This window comes from Homo sapiens, chromosome 14 (genome assembly GCF_000001405.40).
Source record: "Homo sapiens chromosome 14, GRCh38.p14 Primary Assembly".
Classification (NCBI taxonomy): domain Eukaryota; kingdom Metazoa; phylum Chordata; class Mammalia; order Primates; family Hominidae; genus Homo; species Homo sapiens.
Window position 1 is genome coordinate 48,210,598 of NC_000014.9, and position 21,906 is coordinate 48,232,503.

General features: G+C 33.7%; 1 long non-coding RNA gene across 3 annotated transcripts in view; it reads left to right on the forward strand.

Annotated features, from left to right (window-relative positions):
• LOC101927483 (uncharacterized) overlaps window positions 1-17,619 on the forward strand; it is a 34,094-nt gene extending 16,475 nt beyond the window's left edge. For 2 of the 3 annotated variants that reach the window (XR_943829.2, XR_007064149.1), the window contains exons 4-7: window positions 1,640-1,809; window positions 2,990-3,068; window positions 15,619-15,722; window positions 17,254-17,619. This is a non-coding gene — a long non-coding RNA (uncharacterized LOC101927483). The remainder of the gene's footprint in view (window positions 1-1,639; window positions 1,810-2,989; window positions 3,069-15,618; window positions 15,723-17,253) is intronic. The other variant, XR_007064148.1, reaches the window with a different exon arrangement.
• The last annotated feature ends 4,287 nt before the right edge of the window (window positions 17,620-21,906 follow it).

Genomic DNA, 21,906 nt, shown 5'->3' on the forward strand with positions numbered 1-21,906 from the left:
CCATGGAATATCAGGAAAATGTCAAAATCAACAAAATTTGTACTAACAGCCATGTCTCAGATTCAATGACAGGGCTCTAATGTTTAGTTGGGCATTTTAGAAATAAACATGGCCACGTGTTGTAATCCCTACCTGTAAACATGTATAGTGGTTGTAAAGCTGGGAATATTATCTTGTCCAGAAGCAATTTGTATCTGGATACAGAAGGTGGATCTTTACTAAACTTGGAAAAGCAGTTCAAGTGACCAAATAAAAAAAATAAATAAATAAACCTGCCAAGTAATTTCTTGAGGGCTTGCTTTTATTTTATTTTTTATATTTTGGGTACCCGAACAGAAATTTTGTACATGCTTTCTGTTAAAATTAAAATAATTTCATTTCTGGAGATGACTTAAACTTCTTTATAAAAGATGTCCATAATAATTACAACTTGAAAAATAGTGTATAAAACTAGTAGAATTCTTGTGTTTGTTTTTTTCTTTTGATTTTCCTTATATGGATATCTTGGAAACTAAATAAGGCAGTGATCTTTGTTCTCATATTGTAATGTGTAAATATTTCAGAATCTAGATATTTAAATAGCATCTAATAATAGATCAGAATAAATTATCTCACCTTAGCTATATTTATAATTGAAAGAAAAGTGGTAAATTTGTTAATTGCTTTATAAGTGAGGTTTAAAGTCTTTGCTCCTAGAATTAACCATCAACAACCACAATGGTAGATTGAAGATTTATTTTGACCTGAAAGATCTGAATATTTGGCTAATTTTTATTTAAATTACAAATGTAGATGAACCAGTATGATATGATCTGTTCTGCTTTTTGTCCTGAGAACATACCCACCTCTGTTAATTACCCAAACTTTGAAAGCACTCATCACTTGAGCCCAACAATTCATATTGTTAAAAGTTCTGGGAAACGGCCAACTGCTCCACAAAGCTTTCATTACTCATAAACTATTTACCTTTCTCTTCTCTAAAAGTTAGTACTCAATTATATAATGGCTTTTGTTATTTACCAATTATTACACCTAGTGGAACTGATTTCAGCCAAATAGTAGCATAGTAAATGCTTCCTAAATTTTCTGTATTCCCCACTTTAATAAACATGTTAGCAAACAAATATCTGCAGAATAATTGATACTTCCTTTATGAAAAAGATTCGACTAGCACTTTTAAACAATAATTTTGTTTTTAGGATTTTTGTTTACTATTGTTTTAAAAATATGAGATATGGAATTATTATAATAATTGAGATAGTATAGCTGGAGAGAAGGAAAAAATATATAAAGTGTACATTGTTGGTGAAAGCCTATGCAGGGAACAGAGAAATTTAATGATTAAGTAGAAGATCATTGTAATTATATAATGTTTAAAGAAAATAGTGATTTTGAAAAAAGTTGAATAAAAATATTATTGTAATAATTGAAAATTGAGCAGAGAGCGTTTAATTTTGTACAAAAGCCCCTGATAGTGCCACATTTTTCCCAAGGTGTTTACCTATATCCAAGTGCCCTGTTTTTGTTTTTCTTTGGCATGTTGGCAGGCTAAACTTTCTAGCTTCCCTTGAAGATAGAAGGATGTTGTAATTAATTTAAGCCAAGCATTGTGAATGGAAATGAAGTACATTATTTTCAGGATACGGCACTGTGTGCTAATGGGCTGCCCACTCCTTCCTGAAACTACAAACTTGGAGGTCATGTGTTGAGATGGCAAGAACAAGATGGAGGCAACTTGGATCCTAGAGGAACAAGATTGAGGAGAATGTGCCCCTTTCCTCCTACCAGCCCATGTTTAATTGGGCATAAGTGAGTAATAGATTTCTTTTGTGAAAAGTCAATGAGCATTGAAGATTTGTCTGTAATGCAACTGGTAATTATCTTTTGTCTTTAGGCTTGCAAAAATAAAACTTCCATGATGATTCCTGTTAAGTAAAATTTCCCAACACTTAAAACAGTAATACAAAGACATGTCAACATTCTTGTTCATATTTTTGCTAAATAATTATCTTTTCAAATAGTTATTTAAAAATACAATTAATTTGGTTAACCTGAAACTAAATTTCATTAACTTAAAAGAAACATAACTGTTTTCCATTTGACTACCTACATCACTATTTATAAAATTACATCTTTATTTGTAAAGGAGAAAGAAAAATGAAGTAGTTTCTAATATTTCATTTTAAATTCTCTTTTCCAAAATCCTTTAAATACTGGATTCTGTAATAGTACAAACACACAAAAAAATGCAATCCTTTTACCGGTTCTGCCGGGAAAGGGCTAACCTAAAAGAGCTAACAGAGATTTAGCCAAAAACTTTAATATAGATTATGTATCTAGAAATATGTATCTTTTATATATTGTGGATAATATTATATATTTTAGTCCAACACATACTACATATATTAATGAATACACTGAAGAAGAATTTATGCTTTCTTCCTGAAGTTGCTTTTGTCAAGTCATCAAACTTCCTCCTAATTGCCATAAGACACTGACAGTGTTTACTGTATTTCCCTTTCTTCCACACAGCTAGCTGGAAAGTCTTCCTTCCTTTCTCTCCGTTTTGGAGAAAACTCTACTCTTTCTTCAAAAACTATTTCAAATGTCAGCTCCTCTGTAAAGCCTCCTTGATATGTACGTCCTTGGTAGTGGCTCTTCCTTTATTCAGCATTAACTTAACAAACAGGTCATTAAGCACTAACCGTGTACTTGATTGGATATGAAGGACACAGCAATGAATAAAATTGCACAGAGCCCTTCCTCTCATTGACTAGCATGGAGGGATATAGGAGATACATAAACAACTAAATAACTATTTCAGGTGGTAATAAATATTATGAAGAAAGAGGAATCAGAGTAGAATATGGAGCATGCCAGGTAGAAAGGAACATTTTTTATAGAAGGAGAATAAGTAAAGGTTAACTCACAGATGAATTTGATCACAGATCTAAAGGAAGTAAGGTTAACAGTCATGTGTATATTTCAGAAAAAGAAATATGGATGGAGACCACATGAAAATTGAAGGCAAGAGGATGTATGGTGTCTTCAAGAATACCAAAGAAATCGTTAAGTTTTTAATATCTGTATTTATTATGCTATATAGAATTCACACAAGTTTCTATACTTTGAGCAAATAAGAGCTGAAAAGTTTCTCTGTGTCTTAATTTTTTTCCCTGGAGTGATATAATTAAAGCCAAATATCATCCTACACACTGTAAAGAAGAAACACCAAAAAGAAAAAAAGAAAGAAAAAAAGAATCTGGATGGTGTTAATAGGGGAGAAAAAAGCATCAGGACCTCTTTCTTTTACTTTTGTTATTTGGTACACAGGATGCCCTGATCCAGTACTTTGAGAGAAGGCTTTGTGTGGTATACATTTTCATTTCTTTTGGATAATTAACAAAAGATAGGATTTCTGGGTCATATGACAACATCAGGTTTATTTAACCTTTCCATTAACTGTCAGACACTTCCAGTGGGACTGCATCATATACCCATTTCTGTCAGCCATGTAAGAAGGTTCCTTTTCCTCATAGCCTCATCAAAGTTTACTGTCTCCTGACATGTACAGTATAGCCTTTCTAGTAGGTAGGTATAACATGGTATCTTAATGTGGTTTTAATTTGCATTTTTCTAGTGACTAATGATTTGAGAATCTTTAAATGTGCTTATCAGATATTCATTTATCTTCTGTGGGTAAACGTACTTTCTTGGCTTGTTATAGGTGTATTCATATTTAATCAGTCATAATTTAACCTCCAGTTTGGTCAATTAGCTAAAGTCCTACTTATTTAAGCAAACTGGCTCTGAAAGTCCTAACAGTTAAGAAACATACAAAGAATGAAAGGTAATTACTCTATAGTCACATAGAGATTAACATAGCTGCATAGAATTGGTAAGAAGAAAACTAAACTTTTAGGAGGTGATATCATAGAAATTTAATGATGAGCCTTGAAGCTGTTTTATGAGCTTTGATTTTTACTGTGAATAACACAAAAATGCATTGAAGAGTTTAAAACAGAGGAGTGATGTGATCAAACTTAAATTTTACAGTTTATATATGTTTTACACATATATATTTTTAAAAATATATATTCATTAGTTGTTGCTCAAGTACAAGACATAATTTACTTTTTATATTAAATTTTATAATAATGATTATAATAATAACTGGATTGTGATAATGGTGGAAGAGATATGCTGCTTTTTGTAATATCTTAGACAGCTGAAAGCTAGGAATGAAATGGTAACTAAAAGGGCTACAGAACTCAGTAACTGTTGCAATGTGCCATAGATTCCTTAAAGAAAAATAATGACAAACTTATATTTATTAACCACTAATGCAAGGTCAAACGTTAAAGCCAGAGGACTTCCTGGACAGCATTTATAGAAATCCGAATCTTGACTGGCTAAATCTGAAGTTGAGAGTTAGAACAAAACTCAAGACTTAATCATAAAGACAGAGAGTTTTATCACTTAGAGATCTAGCAGATAAATTACTTAAGGTCGTCTGAGTCTTCTATAACAAAATATTTAAGGTGTTGTTATGTATACTTACGTTGCCAACAATTTTATCCACTGAATTACTTACCATCAATATTGGATTTCTATCATATCCTTTTAGGGTCTTTTTCCTTCTGATAGAAGTACACCTTTTCTATGGTTTGAATGTATGTGTTCTCCAAAATTCATATGTCGAAACCAAGGTGATGGTATCAGAAGGTGAGGCCTCTGGGAGGTGATTAGGTCAAGAGGGCTCCACGCTCTTGTATTAGATTAACACTCCTGTAAAAGATACCTCAGAAAGCTGCCTCCCTCTCTTACTCTTTCCCATGTGAAGACAAAATGTTCATCCCTTCTGCCATGTGAGGATGCAGCAAGAAGGCCCTTACTGATACCAAATCTGCTGGCACCTTGATCTCAGCTTCCTAGTTTCCAGAACTGTGAGAATTGCCAAGTATAAAATATTTTGTTATAGCATCAGGAACAGGTGAATACAGCCTTAAGTAGTTTATCTGCTAGATCTCTAAGTGATAAAACTCTCTGTCTTTATGATTAAGTCTTGAGCTTGGTTCTCACGCTGTCTGACGTTCAGATACAGCTAGAAAAGAATAGGGTTTCCATAAATGCTGTCCAGGAAGTCCTCTAGTTTTAACATTTGACCTTGTGTTAGTGGTTAATAAATATAAGTTTGCAATTATCTTTCTTTAATGAATCTATAGCTGACTGCAACAGTTGCTGAGTTCTATAACCCTTTGAGTTACCATTTCATTCCTACCTTTCAACTGTCTAAGATATTACACAAAGCAACATATCCCCTCCACTATTATCACATTCCAGTTCACTACTAATGGAAGTTTTAACAATTGCACTGCTACATTATGCCAGGACCTATTCATACTCTAATTACCGAGAGCGATGGGTACTTCAATCGACAGCAAGCCAGTAAGTGACTGATCTCCAAAACCCCATCTATGAATCTGCTTTTAAGGTCCACTACTGATAACAAACCTCTTAAATTTGGCTTCATGATTATAGACTCTGAATAAATTATTATAGACTCTGAAGAAAAGAGTTTTGTGTAGAAGTTTTACTAGTAAATACTCTTGGGTGATAACCTGTAACAAAGAGAAAAAGGCAGGATTAATCAGAGAGAGAAGACAAACTACTGTGCCTAATGAAAACATCCAAAGAAATCAAGGCTGAATAGTCAGGAGAGTAGTCACCTTGATAAAAAAGTCATGATCTCTTGCTCAGTTTCTGGACCCCTGGAGCCTCTTAGGTTTTAAGCGTTCCATTCACCTCAGAGGTGCTGGTTATCTTAGTTTCAGAGGGATTACAACTTCATGCCTTACTGAGAATTGCTTGATCCATAAAAAATAGCCCATTCAAGTTTCCACCCCCTTTCAGGCAGTGGCTCACAGTTAATGACTAACTGATGAAGGAATATAACACATGTTCTCTTTGCCTTAATTTGGGGCCACATTGTTATTCCAGCTCCAAAACTTGACAGCAGACTGGCTGAAGCCTCAGTTGCAACTACATTGAAGATTGGTGTTTTCCTTTGCTCAATCCTATTTCTCCAATCATTATTATTTTTGGATGTGTATCTCAAAGAACATTCCACAATAAACTTTCTGTTTGCAATTCTCCAACTCAGAATCTATACAAAGAAAGTTCAATATAAAATAGGTGGTATATTAAAATAGAATGCAGGATGCATTATTCTGGACAATTTAAAGACAAAGGACGAAACAGCAACAGCTATCAGTTTCTAGTTCTGAAAAATCTGTAGCATTGAGCTTCTTTGGTACACAGGGTGCTTTGATCCACCACACAAGTCTGGTTTTCACTCATCTCTCTTCCTACTTTAATATCTATCATTTCCTTCTTGGTTCAGGAGCCATTCTGCATTTCCTTAACACCTCAAGTCTCATTTTAAAATTAGGGTATAGCATGAAAATTAAGGATAGAAACTTTAGACTTTTTATCATTTTCATTGTAACACTGTATATTTTAAGATGAATTCACTCTAATGTTTTTGATACTGAATATCAAGCAGGACAACTGTGGCTGTAATTGAGATCTGTGTCTAAGAAATTTATAGAATAGTAAATCTTCCAGAGAATTAGTTATCAAGCATTGTATATCATAATGTGCTCTCAGAAACTCTAGGGAAAATGGTCTGAGTAGGTGCAGGGATCCTGTAGGAAAATGCTGAATCTTCCCTCCTTATGCCTTTCTTGATAATTATTTAACTTATTATTTTAAATCTTTTGGTGGCAAGAAGAGGTTAATTAGGAAGGAATTAGAAAATATATTGTAATATTGTTCAGGTAGTAATACCTACACACTTCTGGGAATGTTCATACCTCTAAGCTTGGCTTGATGTTTTGCAGTATGCTCACATACTGCTGGCAGGCATTTTGAGGTCAATAAAGTTTTTAATTTTTATGCCAGATTGATTTTGGTCTTTTGTAAGTTATCTCAGGATTTGTAGGAAGTTACAGGTAGACCACAGTTATAAGGTATGTGAAGGAGGAACAGAAAAGGCAAAGAAAGGTCTTTCTTTCCTTTCTTCTTTCTTTCTTTCTTTCTTTCTTTCTTTCTTTCTTTCTTTCTTTCTTTTTCTTTCTTTCTTTCTTTCTTTCTTTTCTTTCTTTCCTTTCTCTCTCTCTCTCTCTCTCTTTCTTTTCTTTCTTTTGAGAGGGAGTCTTGCTCTATTGCCTAGGCTGAAATGCAGTGGCGTGATCTCAGCTCACTGCAACCTCCACCTCCTGGGTTCAAGTGCTTCTCCTGCCTCAGCCTCCTGAGTAGCTGAGATTACAGGTGCCCACCACCACATCTGGCTAATTTTTGTATTTTTAGTAGAGACGGGGTTTCACCATGTTGGTTAGGCTGGTTTCGAACTCCTGACTTCAGGTGATCCACCTGCCTTGGCTTTCCAAAGTTCTGAGATTACAGGCAGGAGCCACCATGCCCGGCCTAGGTCTTACATTTCTAATACCCTCATCTTTGTGTGTATTTAACAAGTATAAAATATCCACAAGATGCAATGTTTACATAAATTTAAAATAAGCAAAACAAACAAAAACTTTGAATATAATAAGCTATTACTTTAGAGTTTTGCAATAAATATGCAGTTTTCTAGGCCATGGATGGGATTTTGTTGTTCATGATGATGATATTGTATATTATGTGTGTATGTGCGTGTGTGTTTTATAAAGAAAAAAAATCACACAGTTTACTTGAAATAGTAAAACAAGGTAAATCAATACCATTTTCTACTTGCTTGGCAGAAATTCTCACTAATCTTAAAAAAGTTAACTATTTAGAAGGTTAATTTAAGGTCTTGTACTATTTTAGAAGTCAACATAGTAAAGTGAAGAAGGTTGATTAGAAATCAGGAACTCTCTATTTTAGCTTCTACTTTGATACTAACTAGTTGTGTAACCCTGGGCAAATCACTTAACCTCTAAGATCTGTCTTCTCATGTGTAAAATGAGAAGGCTGAACTACATGATCTCTGACAGTGCTCAACTAAACCGGCAACTAAATCAAAATATAGAGAAGTTGATTGAAATAGCAGCACATACAAACATATAAACTAGTGTTGAAGAACAGAAATAGGGAATTAGAGCAGTTGATTTATATTTACGGGTTTCTTCTAATCCTTAATGTTGACTGCAGGCCACACCTAGTAATTTTTTCATATGGGATGATTCTGCAAAAATAAATAAAATACCATTTCTTTTGTATATCATTTTGTGAAATTAGAGAGCATAACAATATTCTACGAATATTTATTTTATGTACATTTGCCTCACAAACTTAAAGTGCATTCCTCCCATGACTGTCTTCTGTTTATTTCTAATATTTCACTAATAAAGTATGTGTTTTAATGTGGAAAAGTGAAAAATACCAATATGTTGCTATCAGTGGCAGCAGGTAACCAAATAGCAATGTTTGTCTTTATTAGAACCAAGAGGTAAATTTTCTACATTTAATCCATCCCTGGAGCCATGTGTTAAAAACTTCCATTACCCCAACTGTTATTAATAAGCAGAAAAATTGGGATAAAATAAATGGGTACACTACAAGTTAGATTTTCTACTCAAGTAGGGAGTCACCAAAAGTGGGTAACAACATCCCACATGTTTGATTAAAAACTAGACAGGATTTCTCCCTAGGTGAGACTGAAGTGTCTCCTATGATGCTAAAGGAGTATTACAAAAACATTCCGAGATTTTAGGACTATCTCACTTTTGCTGCTTCATATGATAGCTTAAATCAGGCATGCAGATCCTCTTGGTTGTATAGTTGCTAACAAATTGTTTGCCAGTGGTAATTTCCTTCCACTTAACAGAGATTAATGTATCTCATCTCAATCAGCAACGTTACAATTTCCTTTATAGCCACATGTTTTTGTTTATCTCACTATATGGAATGCTGTCTATTACATACTTAGATACTTCCTCCATTAGAAAGTTGAATGTCTTAAATTATAATAATAATAAAAAGGGAAAGTTGAATTTCTTAAACTAATCTTTCTCTATTATAATGTAGAATGAATTTTACTCAGTTCTATCAGGATTAATTTTTTTTTCCCCTTACCAAGTAACTGGCAAAGCAACTCAATGACAAAATGCTACCCTTGAGCTAACCTGTCAACCCAGTTAGAATAAAGGCACAGAGAAATGTAAAGGAGAAATACATAAATACTAAAGCTTTAGTGCGAGAACCTTGTAGAAGAACAGAAAAAAATAAATAAAAATGTTCTTCTGATGGCACACTTTTTATTAACTGTATAAAACATATTTAAAGTAAACAAATGTTAATACAAAGTTTTACAAATTAAAAATAATAAAATCAGAAATTTTAAAAGGACATACGGGAGCAATGCATAAAGAAAGAAATTTAAATGGCTAACAATGTATGAAGACACTTTGAAGCTCACTAATAAACCAAGAAATAAAAATAAAAATGTTAGTGAGCCACCACTCTTTAACGATGAAATTATAAAGAATTTTATAAGTAGTATCACTCAATGTTGGCAAAAATAGAAGAAAATGGAATATCTTATACATGTTGATTGGAGAATAAAGTAGAATAAGCTTTCTGTAACACAGTTTCACAATAAATAGCAAAAGCTTTAAACTGTCTCCATACATCAATTTTTCTGGAAATTAACCTAATGGATTAACTACAGATTTGAGCAAAGATTTAGTTTCAAGTATATTTATTAAAAACTAAAAGCAATGCAGGAAATAAGCTTTATGCACCAAAATGATGGTGACTTTAAAAACTCTTATAAAAAGATACAGATAGATAAATTTGCATATATATATCCATATTCTATGAAACTATTAAAACCATACTTATGTACTTATGAGATGTATATATATGTATATATATACATATATATAAAATCTATTCAGTGAAACAAGATTAAAGACTAGTATTCATGTCTGATTCATTTTTTTGTGAACTCCTGTGTCTAGCAGAGTGCTTTTCCCAAAGTATAGAACATGCGTTTGTTGAATGAATGGGTGAATGCAACTATTGTAACTTTTAAATGAATTCTCCACCATCTATGTGGCATGCCTCTCTTATACCAGTGGATGTCATGATATGTAAATTCCTTTCGCCAGTCATATTTCTCTTAACCTTCTTCTGGATAGTGTCTGGAATCTGTCACTGTGGGGAGCGTTTAAAACCTGCATGAGATTTAACATCTTTAGTGTGTAGCTCCAATATTTCGTGTTCGCCAGTATGGATAAGCAATGTTATTTTCATATTTATACTTTCAAACGTAGCAGTTTTGAGCTTCCATCTGCCCTACATAACAAGAAATTAGGATTTTTAGCCCTATGTCAAACCTCTTAAAACCTTATTTTTTTCAAGGAACCCTACAGGGGTCTAGAGTGAGTTCTGGTCTTCCTTCCCATGAGCTAACAGAGCAAATTAAATCTATGCCATAGAAGGCAGAAAATCTGAGGCCACCGGCCAAATTGCAGATGTATGAGAAACCAAGCAATTCTTGCTGTTATTGTCCCTGCTTCTCAAAACCTGTGAAGTATGAATTTGGTACCCTTCAGTTGATAGAAAATGAAGGTCACTGCTGGACACCAGTAGAGAGGTAGAAATATGACATAGCTCCTCCTATATCATATTTACTTGACAGGAAGTGAGAAGTTTCCAGGGGCATGGTTGGGGAGTGCAAGGCGAATGAAAGTAGTAAACTGAGTCTCCACATTAATTTTCTTGGAGCAGCTCTCTGAAGTTTGCCATCCCTGTAGTGAAATTGTTCTTGCTCTCAACACTATTCCTAGCTGGGCCTCAAGCCCTGATACACAGTGGAGATAAAGTTTTCTAAATTCACGCATCCTGACAGTGTTGTTGCTTCAGCTGTTGAAATCAGAGGCTTTATCATCCATTTTAGCAGACACCATAATAATTCATGTAGGTATAACACGACCTCTGCCATTTTTTCAGTGGTCTCTGCTATTATAAGCTAGGGTTTCTTTGAAATGTGAGGAAGGATGCTCTTTCCTTCTCTATTTCATCACCCTAGATCTTCCAAGCCAAGAGTGACTTTCAGTTGCAAATGTAGGGTCATAACTTTTAGGCTTGCCTACAGAACCATCTCTCTCGGGCACCAGTCTGCATGCAGGATGGCTGGGGCAAGCAGGTATGAAACAGGTATCAATACTCCTTTGAGACCTAATTTCAGAGTCCAGTCCTGGCTCTATTTCTTAACTTCATTGTAAAATATTTCGTGGGGGCCCAAATTGCCTTCCAGTAATCTGCTCTTGACCAGTCCACTTCTGTGATTATGATTGTTTTTCAAAACAATCTAGCTCTGTGACCTAGCTTTGCTGTTGGAACACACAGTTGCCATTAGAGCTTGCCACAGTGACACTTACCTCCTCTTTTTAAATAACTGTTTGATTTCCCCTAAGCATCCACTGCATCCTCTAAACCCAAATATAACTTTAGTTAGTCCTCATAAATAGAAAAAAGTGTAAAAAAGTAAATTTTCCCAGCTTTTGCTTGTAGCTTCTTGGTAAAGAAAATTGGCCAGAAGCTTGTAATATGAACTTTGTATTTATCCCCCTCTACAAGTTTCTATCATTAATACATGTCAACATTTAAAATTCTAACCAAATGGCAGGAGGTAATAACTGACTTCTAAAGCTACTAATATAATTCTCTGCTTCTTTATAAATTCACATAAAAGACATAGAATTTTCATTACAAAAGGAATCTTAAGAAATTAATTGGTGGAGTGAACTTAGTTTAAAAATAGAAAAGGAGGTGCATGTCCAGTAATGGGTTACTAAAGGTCCTGTTAACTTATGAAGTCGGAGTTACAATACAGGTCTCTGTATTCTTTGTCAAAATATTTCCTCCTTTTCATTAACCTAAAAAAGAGTTATGTATATTTTAATAATTGTACTTAATATATGTCATATTTTCATGTGGACTAGGATACTAGTATTCTAAAAGTTCCGTTAAAAGCATCCCCTCATTTGTCATAAAAAAAAAAAAAACATAAAAACAGCATGACTGTACAAGGAGTTTGGAAAAAAATTCTATTGTTTCAAAATCAGTGACTTCACTGATGATCAGAGGAAAGTGTGTCATATAATTAATACTGGGATCAAAAAAGTTTATGTAATTACAAAAGTGATATAAAAATCATGGTTAGTTATTGTTTAGCAATAGTACTGAACTTTATATATATATAAAGTTCATCGCCCACCACCACACCTGGCTAATTTTTTGTACTTTTAGTAGACACAGGGTTTCACTATGTTGGCCAGGCTGGTCTTGAACTCCTGACCTCATGATCCGCCTGCCTCGGCCTCCCAAAGTGCTGAGGTTACAGGCATGAGCCACTGTGCCCTGCCTGAACTTCTTATTTTTTAACATGCAAATATATTCTTGTGGGACTTAATTTGTTAAACATTATGCAATAGAACTATTTTTTTTTCTTATTGATGAAGAAAATTTCTGGTACTCTGTTTTAAGATGCCAGTTTTTTTGTAACACGGCAATAAAAGCATTGAAAATGATAGAAGTAAGAAGAGAAGTATGGGATATGGGGGAAAGTGGACCTAGGGCCTTCTTGAGATAAATATTTTGCTTGTCTTATATTTAGCTCAGCTGGGCTCATCTTGGGCTTGTGGTTGTGGAGGAGGATAAGCCCTTGGACACAGCAAGAACACCCTAGAAGCAGGCATACAACCTTGAAGGTCTAGTAACTGTTCTCTCTTACTTCTAGCTATTTACCAATCAAAAGGTAAAAATCCCTTTATGCCACACTAATAAACAGTCCCGAAATTAACAACTTACTATTTATTATTTACTTTTCTCTCCCACTTCCCCAAATAAAAGTTTATAAAGACCTTAAATGAGAGTTGCTTCATTTATTATTCTCCCTTAGGATGACCCTTCCTCATTTGTCAGCACACTCTAAGAAAAGCATTCCAAAATAGCTTTGCTACTTTCTGCAGTAATTTATTTTTATAAACTTTAAATCATTAATTTATTACAATATAGATTTATCTTTCTAAAATTTAAGACATTTTAATTAAAATTATCTTTTTTTTTTTCACTGAAGACATCAGCTATTTATTGAGATATTCCAATCTCTCACACTCTCATACTTTCTGCAAAGGATTAACAGAATTGTGCAGAGTGATGCATAGTGGCATTATCAAACCAAATTGATCTGAACCTAGGAAAGAAGAAAGAATTTTATGTAGGATGCAATTTGCAATTTGAAGCATACAGTCAGATAGCAGTCTCCTCAGGATGGTCTTCCTGGAGCCATTGTGCTGATCAGCCACAATGAAAAATCCTATCCTAGCAGTATTCAAAGTATTAGCATATTCCAACACTAGCACACACTGGCTGACTTTCCTCAGTTCATTACACAGTTGAAGGGCATGGACACTTTTTCTATTTCCATGTGTTTTTTTCTCAACTTTCTCTTCTAATAGGTTTGTACTGAAGTTTCAAGTTTCCATTGATAATTGTAGCCAGAAATATGGCTATGCAAACTTATTTTAAAAATGCCAATGTATGAAACATCAAAAGAGAATTGCAGTGCATTAGTCAATTATGTGAATATACTATAAAATTCATAGTTTTATTTTGTGTTTTTCTTTTACTTTAAAGTCTTCTTATAAATGTGTTTTCTTGACAACCATAAATGAACTGAAAAATGGAGCTCAAATTATAAAATTACTATAATCATCGGGTTTATATTACTTATTACTTAATATTATCATAAATGCTTAAGAACAGAATTTACTTCACTTGAATTCAAGCTTTAATTTGAGATATACAAGTATACTTATATTGATTTGAATGAGGTTATCGTGGTAAATAACTAAGTTAATTCATCCCACTGTTCAGCAACCACTAAGTTGAAGAGCAGAAGGAAGGAAGTGGGGGAAGAGGAGGAAGAAAGAAAAGGAGAGAGGGAAGGGCAAAGGAAGGGAGTGAGGGAGGAAGGAAGAAAGGAAGGAATGAAAGATGATGATAAAAGGGAGGGAAGACTAACCAGGTATTAATACTCTAATTGTGGGAGGACATCTAGACCTGAAAAGGAATTGACTGAACAAGATATTTGACTGAACAAGATATTAAACTGAACAAGAAACTGAAAAGTAAAATTTGTAGGGGCAGATAGTATTTAAATATTAATTAGTTCTAATGATTTTAAATTTCTAGAGATCAAATCTTCTGTTCACTTCATTTTTAAATCATTAGGATCTGATCCCAGATGCTCAATAAACATTTGTTAGAACAAAAAGATTACAAAGTAATGAGAAATCCACTTTTGGAGACTTCTAATACTTAGTGCATTTATATGAGGAAGGTCTAAAACCAATGGCTATGAATTTAGATAAACTGATTTTAGCTGAATTCAAAGAACTTTCATTCCTACCCAAAGGTAAAAAAAAAAATCTGCCTTGGGAGTAAGAAGTTTCTAATCCTACATTGAGCAATAGACATGAATAATAAAAAGGTGAAGGTAATAAATGTCAAGATTTATTCAAATCTTGAGATTAGAATTCTGGGATTAAAAGCTTCACAAAAAAATAATAAAATAAATTTTACAAATAATGAAGCAACAAAATTATATCTGAAGTGTTAACATGCAATGTTACAAAACCTGGGTTTAAATATTTCCCTAGAATCAATTGTAGTTAGAGTTTAAAAATTCAAATAATTGTTTAGAATAATTAATGCATTTTCTGGTGTTTTATATCCATTAAACACATTTTGTTTAAAGAATCACAGAAATACATTTTAAGCAAAAATAACATATATCAATGAACAAGTTAGAAATACAAAAGGCATATGATTGAAGCACACGTTGAAAATAATCAGTTTCTGTATGTTAAGTAACACTAAATTCTTCAAAATAGAAGTTCTTCAGCATATGAATCATGTACACAATATTAAATATATATTCTGCACATATTGGTTTCTTGCATCATATATAATGAAAATAAGTTTTTATATTATATCTAGTAGAAGAGAAAGTTTCATTTGTCACCCAAGACATCATATTTTAGAAATATAGCTTTATACTACTGGACTTCATAAAGGTCATCCTCAGGGTACGCTGAAATTTCAGGACTGACAGTTTTTAAAAAAATTTCCATAAAATGAATTCTCAGAGCATCTTGCAAAACTCCTTAGACCAAATATGTAATTAGTATTTGAAGAAAAATAAATAACTTGTTAATTTAAACCCAATTAATTTTGTGACTGCAGAAATATGTGAGGTATAAAGATTCATTAGGAGATAATTGATTTTCATTCTTGAATCCAAGAGGTCAGGAAATCTACTCACTTAAAACAACTGCAGAAAACAAGTATAAAAAAAATGCAAGCACATTAAGCTCCACCTCAGAATGTTAGAGAAACACAACTGAGATGTTTTGAAGAAAACAAGGACACATACATAGAGAAACAAAATTGTTAAGGGAGCCCTTCTAATAGCCAGTAAACATGTCTTTCATTCACAATTTCTTTATTATTATCTTCTGATATTCAAAAGTACTTTGTACCCATGCTATGCTTTGTCTTCAGGGTTTTGATGTTCAACGTTTCATGCAAGTTCAAAAAACTTGATTCTGGTAGCAAAATTATAGCAGGAAGAGGAAGCAGGACACCAGAGGCTTTTCTTTTCATGGGTAGGTCAAAATAATTCCTTCAAGATGTCAAGGAAAAAACATTGAAATGTTATAAAAGAACGTTTCAATGTTCCTTTCCTAAATTCTCCGTGCATTCCTACAGCTTCCATTTGAAGTACTTATGATAGAAGCCTTAGCTTTTCAACAAATTTCTCCAAGCAGAATTGTGCCCCCAAAGCAAATTAGGAAATATACTTAAAAAGGAGGGGAAAGAAAAAGGCTTATGAATTATATTAGTCCATTCTCTCATTGCTATAAGGACACACCTGAGACTGAGTAGTTTATAGAGGAAAGAGGTTTAATTGACTCACAGTTCTGCAGGGCTGGGGAAGCCGCAGGAAACTTACAATCATGGTAGAAGGGGAAGCGAACACATCCATCTTTTCATGGTGGCAGCAAAGAGAAATGGAGAGCAAAAAGGGGAAAAGCCCCTAATAATACCATTAGATCTCATGAGAACTCACTCACTATCACAAGAACAGGATGGAGGAAACCGTCACCATGACTCCATGACCTCCACTTGTCCCTCTCATGACATATGGGGATTATGAGAACCACAATTCAAGATGAGATTTGGGTGGGGATACAGCCAAACCATACCATGAATACTTAGATCTGTACTTTCCAAAGAAATCATAAAAACAGCTTCATAATATGTTATTAAAATAAGACCATTATTACTTTATAAATCAAATCACTTTTAGCAGTAGCTTATGACCACAATTTCCAGATGAAGTCTTTATTTGTACTGTTCTTTATAAACATTTATCCAGTAGGCCTTCAGTGGAAAGAAAGTTAGAAATGCTTTGAAGGATGAATATATTTATATCTGAAGTTCTGCTTATATAGTCTCAAAATACCCATATACAAAATGAAATTTTTCAACATATTAATATTCAGAACTTTCCAAATATCCAGAAGGCCAACATACAATTTATTTTTTTATTTTCATTCAATAATTGATGTATAGCCTTTCCAAAAATATGCATCATTTAAATAAGATCCAATAAACCCAGGTTATATACATTTACATTTCATTCTTAAACTACCATATTTACACTTAATATTGTTATGTAAATATATTAATATATAATTAAACATATATTTTCATCTTTTGATTGCAAATTGCCTAAATTTCAAATATTTTACCATTATTTTTTTTTAATCCACTAAAGTTGTACTAATGGAGCACTATCCAATACTGCAATAATGGAATATTTTATATGTGCTATTTCCAATACAGTAACCACCAGTAAAATGTGGCTGTTGAGCATTTGAAATTTGGCTAGTTTGACTAAGGAAGTTAACTTTTATTTATTTAAGTTTAGTTGCTTTATATTTAAAAAATCACCATGGCTGCTGGCCACCATATTTGTCAGCACAGCTCTGAAGTATTTGAAGGTAATTCAAGAGCTATTACTTCTCTTTATTGTTAATATTCCATTTTTGAATTTCATTTACTGTTGTTACTTGTTTCTTTACAATATCTTTGTACTGAGAGTACTTACCAACATTTTGTCTTCCTTTACAGTGAGTGTCAAACTGAAGCATAGCCATCCGTACTTTTTAATGGAATGAACAAGCTGTGCTCTCTAAAAACCAGAATAACTATTAATATCATCATCAGCTATGGAAATACAGTGGCAGAATGTGTTATGTCCCTAGCAACAATCCTTTTTCTCCTCAGAACTCACCTTGCTTACATCATTTCTCACCTTAAGAAATCAATTAATTCGAAGACTTCCTCCACCTATCCCACTCTAAGACTTAAGAGTCTAAGAGATAAACAATACAATTTGTTCTCTCATTTTCTCTACAGAGACCTCCTATTCAGAATTGGGTTTGGGCTCTGCCTTGCCTCAGGAAGTTAATAAAATTCACTTTTCATGTAATCTGATGAGTTAGTTTGAAAATGAGTCTTTCCGCATTTAAAAGTTCTGGGAAATAATGACAACCTATTCTCTATGGCAGCTTCTTCTCATTTAAAATAATTTGATAAAAATAAATATTTAAAATCTTTCTAAATTTGTTTTAGAAATATTTTATGAATGCATCCAGAAAAATAATTATATTTTAAATTATTTGTATACTTATAAAATATAAATTATTTCCTACTTTGTGAAAGTTATATATACACTGTATTTGGGTCATTTGAACAGAATCTATGGATCCTCTTAGCTCTTAAACAATGTCAATATGAACTATTTGGCAAAATTCTTTATTTTATAAAGAAGTGATAACATTAAAAATTAAATAGATGTATAATCATATTTGACTAATTTTATAGCTTGCTAAATTTGTAATGACCTCTGACCTTTACTTCAAAAGAATGTACCACCCACCTAACTCAGTATTATGTCAACACCAATTTCAACCAAGTTTTGCTCCAGTTCACAAATTAAATACTAATGAAAATATTACATAATATCTCAGGTCATAGATTGACTCTGGCACCATTCTTTTTCACGGAAGACTGTCAAGTTGAAAAAACATATATTCCATTTGAAATTTGAGCACTGATCATAGGCAGTGGAGTCAGATAGTTCTGAGTTCAAATTTCAGCTTTTACTTGCTATCTATGTGAGTTTGGACAAGTTAATTTATGATCTCTAAAAATAGTGTAGAGATGTCATAAGAAGATTTTGAGAACAAATTAAGTAGTTATCCAGCATGGATATACAGTGTACAAAATATTTTCCTCTATATACAGTGTACAAAATATTTTCCCAGAGGGTTTTGCTATGGCTAGGATAGCAGGTACCAGGTTTAGTATATAAATTGCTGGGATCCAACACCATGGCTTCAGCATTGGAAGTAAAAGTAAATAGAAAAACTAATTGTCAGGTGAGAGCAAAGTTGAGATTCAATGGAAGAATCCAAGGTGTCAAGTCCATAGGGGCATATGTGTTGAGTGGCAAGAAACCAACCAACATCAAAGGCTTTGCAATGGCAGGCTGGCAGGAAAAAGCTAGTATGTTCAGTTGGCAGAACATCAAGAGGCTTCTATAAACAACAGTAGAAACAGAGACAGAGCTTATGGTTGCTTTGATTTTGGGAAGGTAACTGTTATAGGTGAGTTTTGATACTATGAGAACATACTCAATAAATATTTGTCCTCTTTCAGTTCTTTCCCTATGTCCTTTCTCCTCTATCTCTAACAATGCTCCTACCTTAAAAGCACTAATTTTCCCATTTCCTCTTAAAAGCTATTGCCTTTTAAAAAATTTATTCATTCCTTTTCTATTGAGCTTCTGTCCAAGCCACTCTGCCAAAACAAATCTGTCAATGACATCTTAGTTCCAATTTCAACGTACTTTTTATTCTCAGCTCTCTGATAGTTATGCTTTAGATTGTTTAAGGCTTTTCTTTCTTGTTTCTTCTCTTAGCCTGCATTATCTCCAGCCTGAATCATTTCTCCTTTTTATGATACTTGAGTAGAAATGTCTTTCAAACTTTTTTCTTAAAATTCTTGCATCTTATCTATTAAAACTTCCCACCTTCAACTTTCTTCGCCCAGCTGATTTTCCAATCTAAATGTTTTACCACAACTCCTTGATCTCTAGTGCCCTGCTATGGTCTGAGTGTTCTAGTCCTCCCACCCCCACCCCCTAACCCCCAAACTCATATGTTATTCAGAGTCTGGGCCTTTGGGAGGTGATTAGATCATGAGGACAGAGCTCTAGAGATCGGGGTCACTGCCCTTATAGAAGAAGCCTCAGAGATCTGCCTTGCCTCTTCTACCATGTAAGGAGACAGCAAGAAGACGCTATGTATAAGAAATGGGTCCTCACCAGGCACATAATAAATTTATGTTGTGAATAAGCTATCTATGTTTATGATATTTTGTTATAGCAACCTGACTACAGACTAAGACACCTCCTATTTATAAATGACCGCTAGTTTTTACCCTAAGATAAATGCTTCTCTACCGAGGAAATTTTGCTCTCAAGAGGGCATTTGACAACGTCTGGAGACATTTTTGGTTGTTACAATATTGAATACTACTGGCATCTAGGGGTAGAGGTCAGGAATGCTGCTAAACATCTTCTAATGCACAGAACAGACCGCCATAACAAATAATTATCCAGTACAAAAATGTCAATAGTGCCAAGGTTGAGAAATTCTATCTTCAATGCTTTCCATACAACTAAAGGGCAATATATCTGCATTTATTTTCTATTGAAGTTACCATGAATTTAGCAGCTTAAAATGTAAGTAATTTATTAATTCACAGTCAATGGGCCAGAAGTCTGGCTAAGCATGAGTGGGCTCTTTACTGGTTATCAAAAGACCAAAACCAAGGTACGAGCCAAGCTGAGTTCTCATCAGAAGGCTCTAGAGAAAAATCCACTCCAAGCTTGTTCTTAGTATTAGCAAAAGTCATCTCTTTGAGGCTGTAGAACTGAAGTCCCCGTTTCCTTGCTAAGTGTCCCCATTTCTTTGCTAGGTCTTCCTTGCTGCTTTCAGCTTTGAGAAGCCACTTGAATTCTTTGCCATGTGGACCCTAATCTTCAAGCCAGCACTGAACCATTCAGTCTTTCTCATGTTTTGAACCTCTGACTTCCTCTTTTGCTACTAGCCAGACAAAATGCCCTACATGTAAAAGGTTTCTATGATTAGGTGAGGCCCAAATGCACAATCTCCCTTTCTTAAAGTCAATTGTGCCATATCACAGCATATTCTAATCATAAGAATAAAATTAATCACATTCACAGTCTGAGAGATTATGCACAACTTGCACACCAGGGGTGGTGAGTCTTGACAATCATCTAAAAATATTGACTACTACAATATTTAGAACTGAACTCATGTTTTTCGTACCAAAATTAACCTTTCTTGCTGCTTTTATTAAAGGCAATATCTTGTTAGTCAGCCAGGACCAAAATCTCTGCCTCATCATCATAACCAATTGACTTCATAGTTTGTAATTTTTTTGTAATTGTATCCTTTCAGGGCCTTCCCCCTTATTCCTGAGGCTCCTACCATGCAGCTTACCTGTGCCATGGTACTCCGCTGTTGGCACATCCTGTTCAAATCCATTTAACGTATTCCTACAGCATTAATTCTTCTGAAGCATATTTCGGTCCTTCTCTGAAACTTTCACTTTCTCCTTTACATATAGGATGGAGTTATTTCATAAGATTATGTTCCCATGTCTGAATTCTGTTGCCTTTCATCTACCATTTACTTGAGCCAAACAAATCCTACTTTTCCTCCTGGAGGTCTCACTCTTCTCTTTATGTTTACCTCATGCTACTTGTTTTTTTTTTTTTTTTTTTTTTTTGGCCTGGAATTAAAATACACCTATTTCACAATTCAAAACTCGCTACCACTGCCATTTCCATCATCAATCCTTCCCAAATATCCGAATTAGTGGTAATAGCTTTTTTTTTTCAGAATTCTGATCCTATATATTTTTTAACTTTCATTGCTGTTACCATGTTTATATCTTGTGTCATTACCCCATATGTATACATTATATTTTCTCCCTTGATAAATAAGTCTTTCATGAACATTATCTTACAATATATATGTTTTGTACATTATGTGTCAGATTAAAATGAATTTATGTGACTGAATAAGGCAATTAAATTTCCTTTAGACTAGGATATACAGGGAATTATAATGGGATAAAGGCTAATATGATTTAGAACAGGTTTGCCCCCAGGGGGTTGCATAGATTCTTTGAATGTAGGGGGAAAAGACAGACACTGAGGTATTAACAGGATATTGGGAGATCCTGAGTACATCAGCTCTAGCCAGCCACAGAAGTTTGCAAAGTTTACGCAGCCTATTTTGGTTGCCTTTATAGTTTCCCTTTTCCCAAATATATTTCTGATGATACACTGTTTAATTTGCACTAGTATGCTTCGGATGTTGTAAAGCCCTATAACCCCAATCAAAGGTTAGCATTCTTCATTCACAATGTCCAAGAATAGAATATTTGCTGAAAAACAGCTAACCTAATTTGATTAATAACTTACAGTGTTTTCATAAAATAATTATGTGAGGTATCATTTAAAAATTCTAGTCTGGCCCTTATAAAAAATTCCACAGCAGTTATTAATCCTCATGGTTGGAACTGCAAAATAGGGTAGATCAATTTAGAAATATTTAGAAAGGTCTTACCTTTTGGAAGCCTTTGAAAAGGTATTTTATGCCTTCACTTAATTTTTACTATATG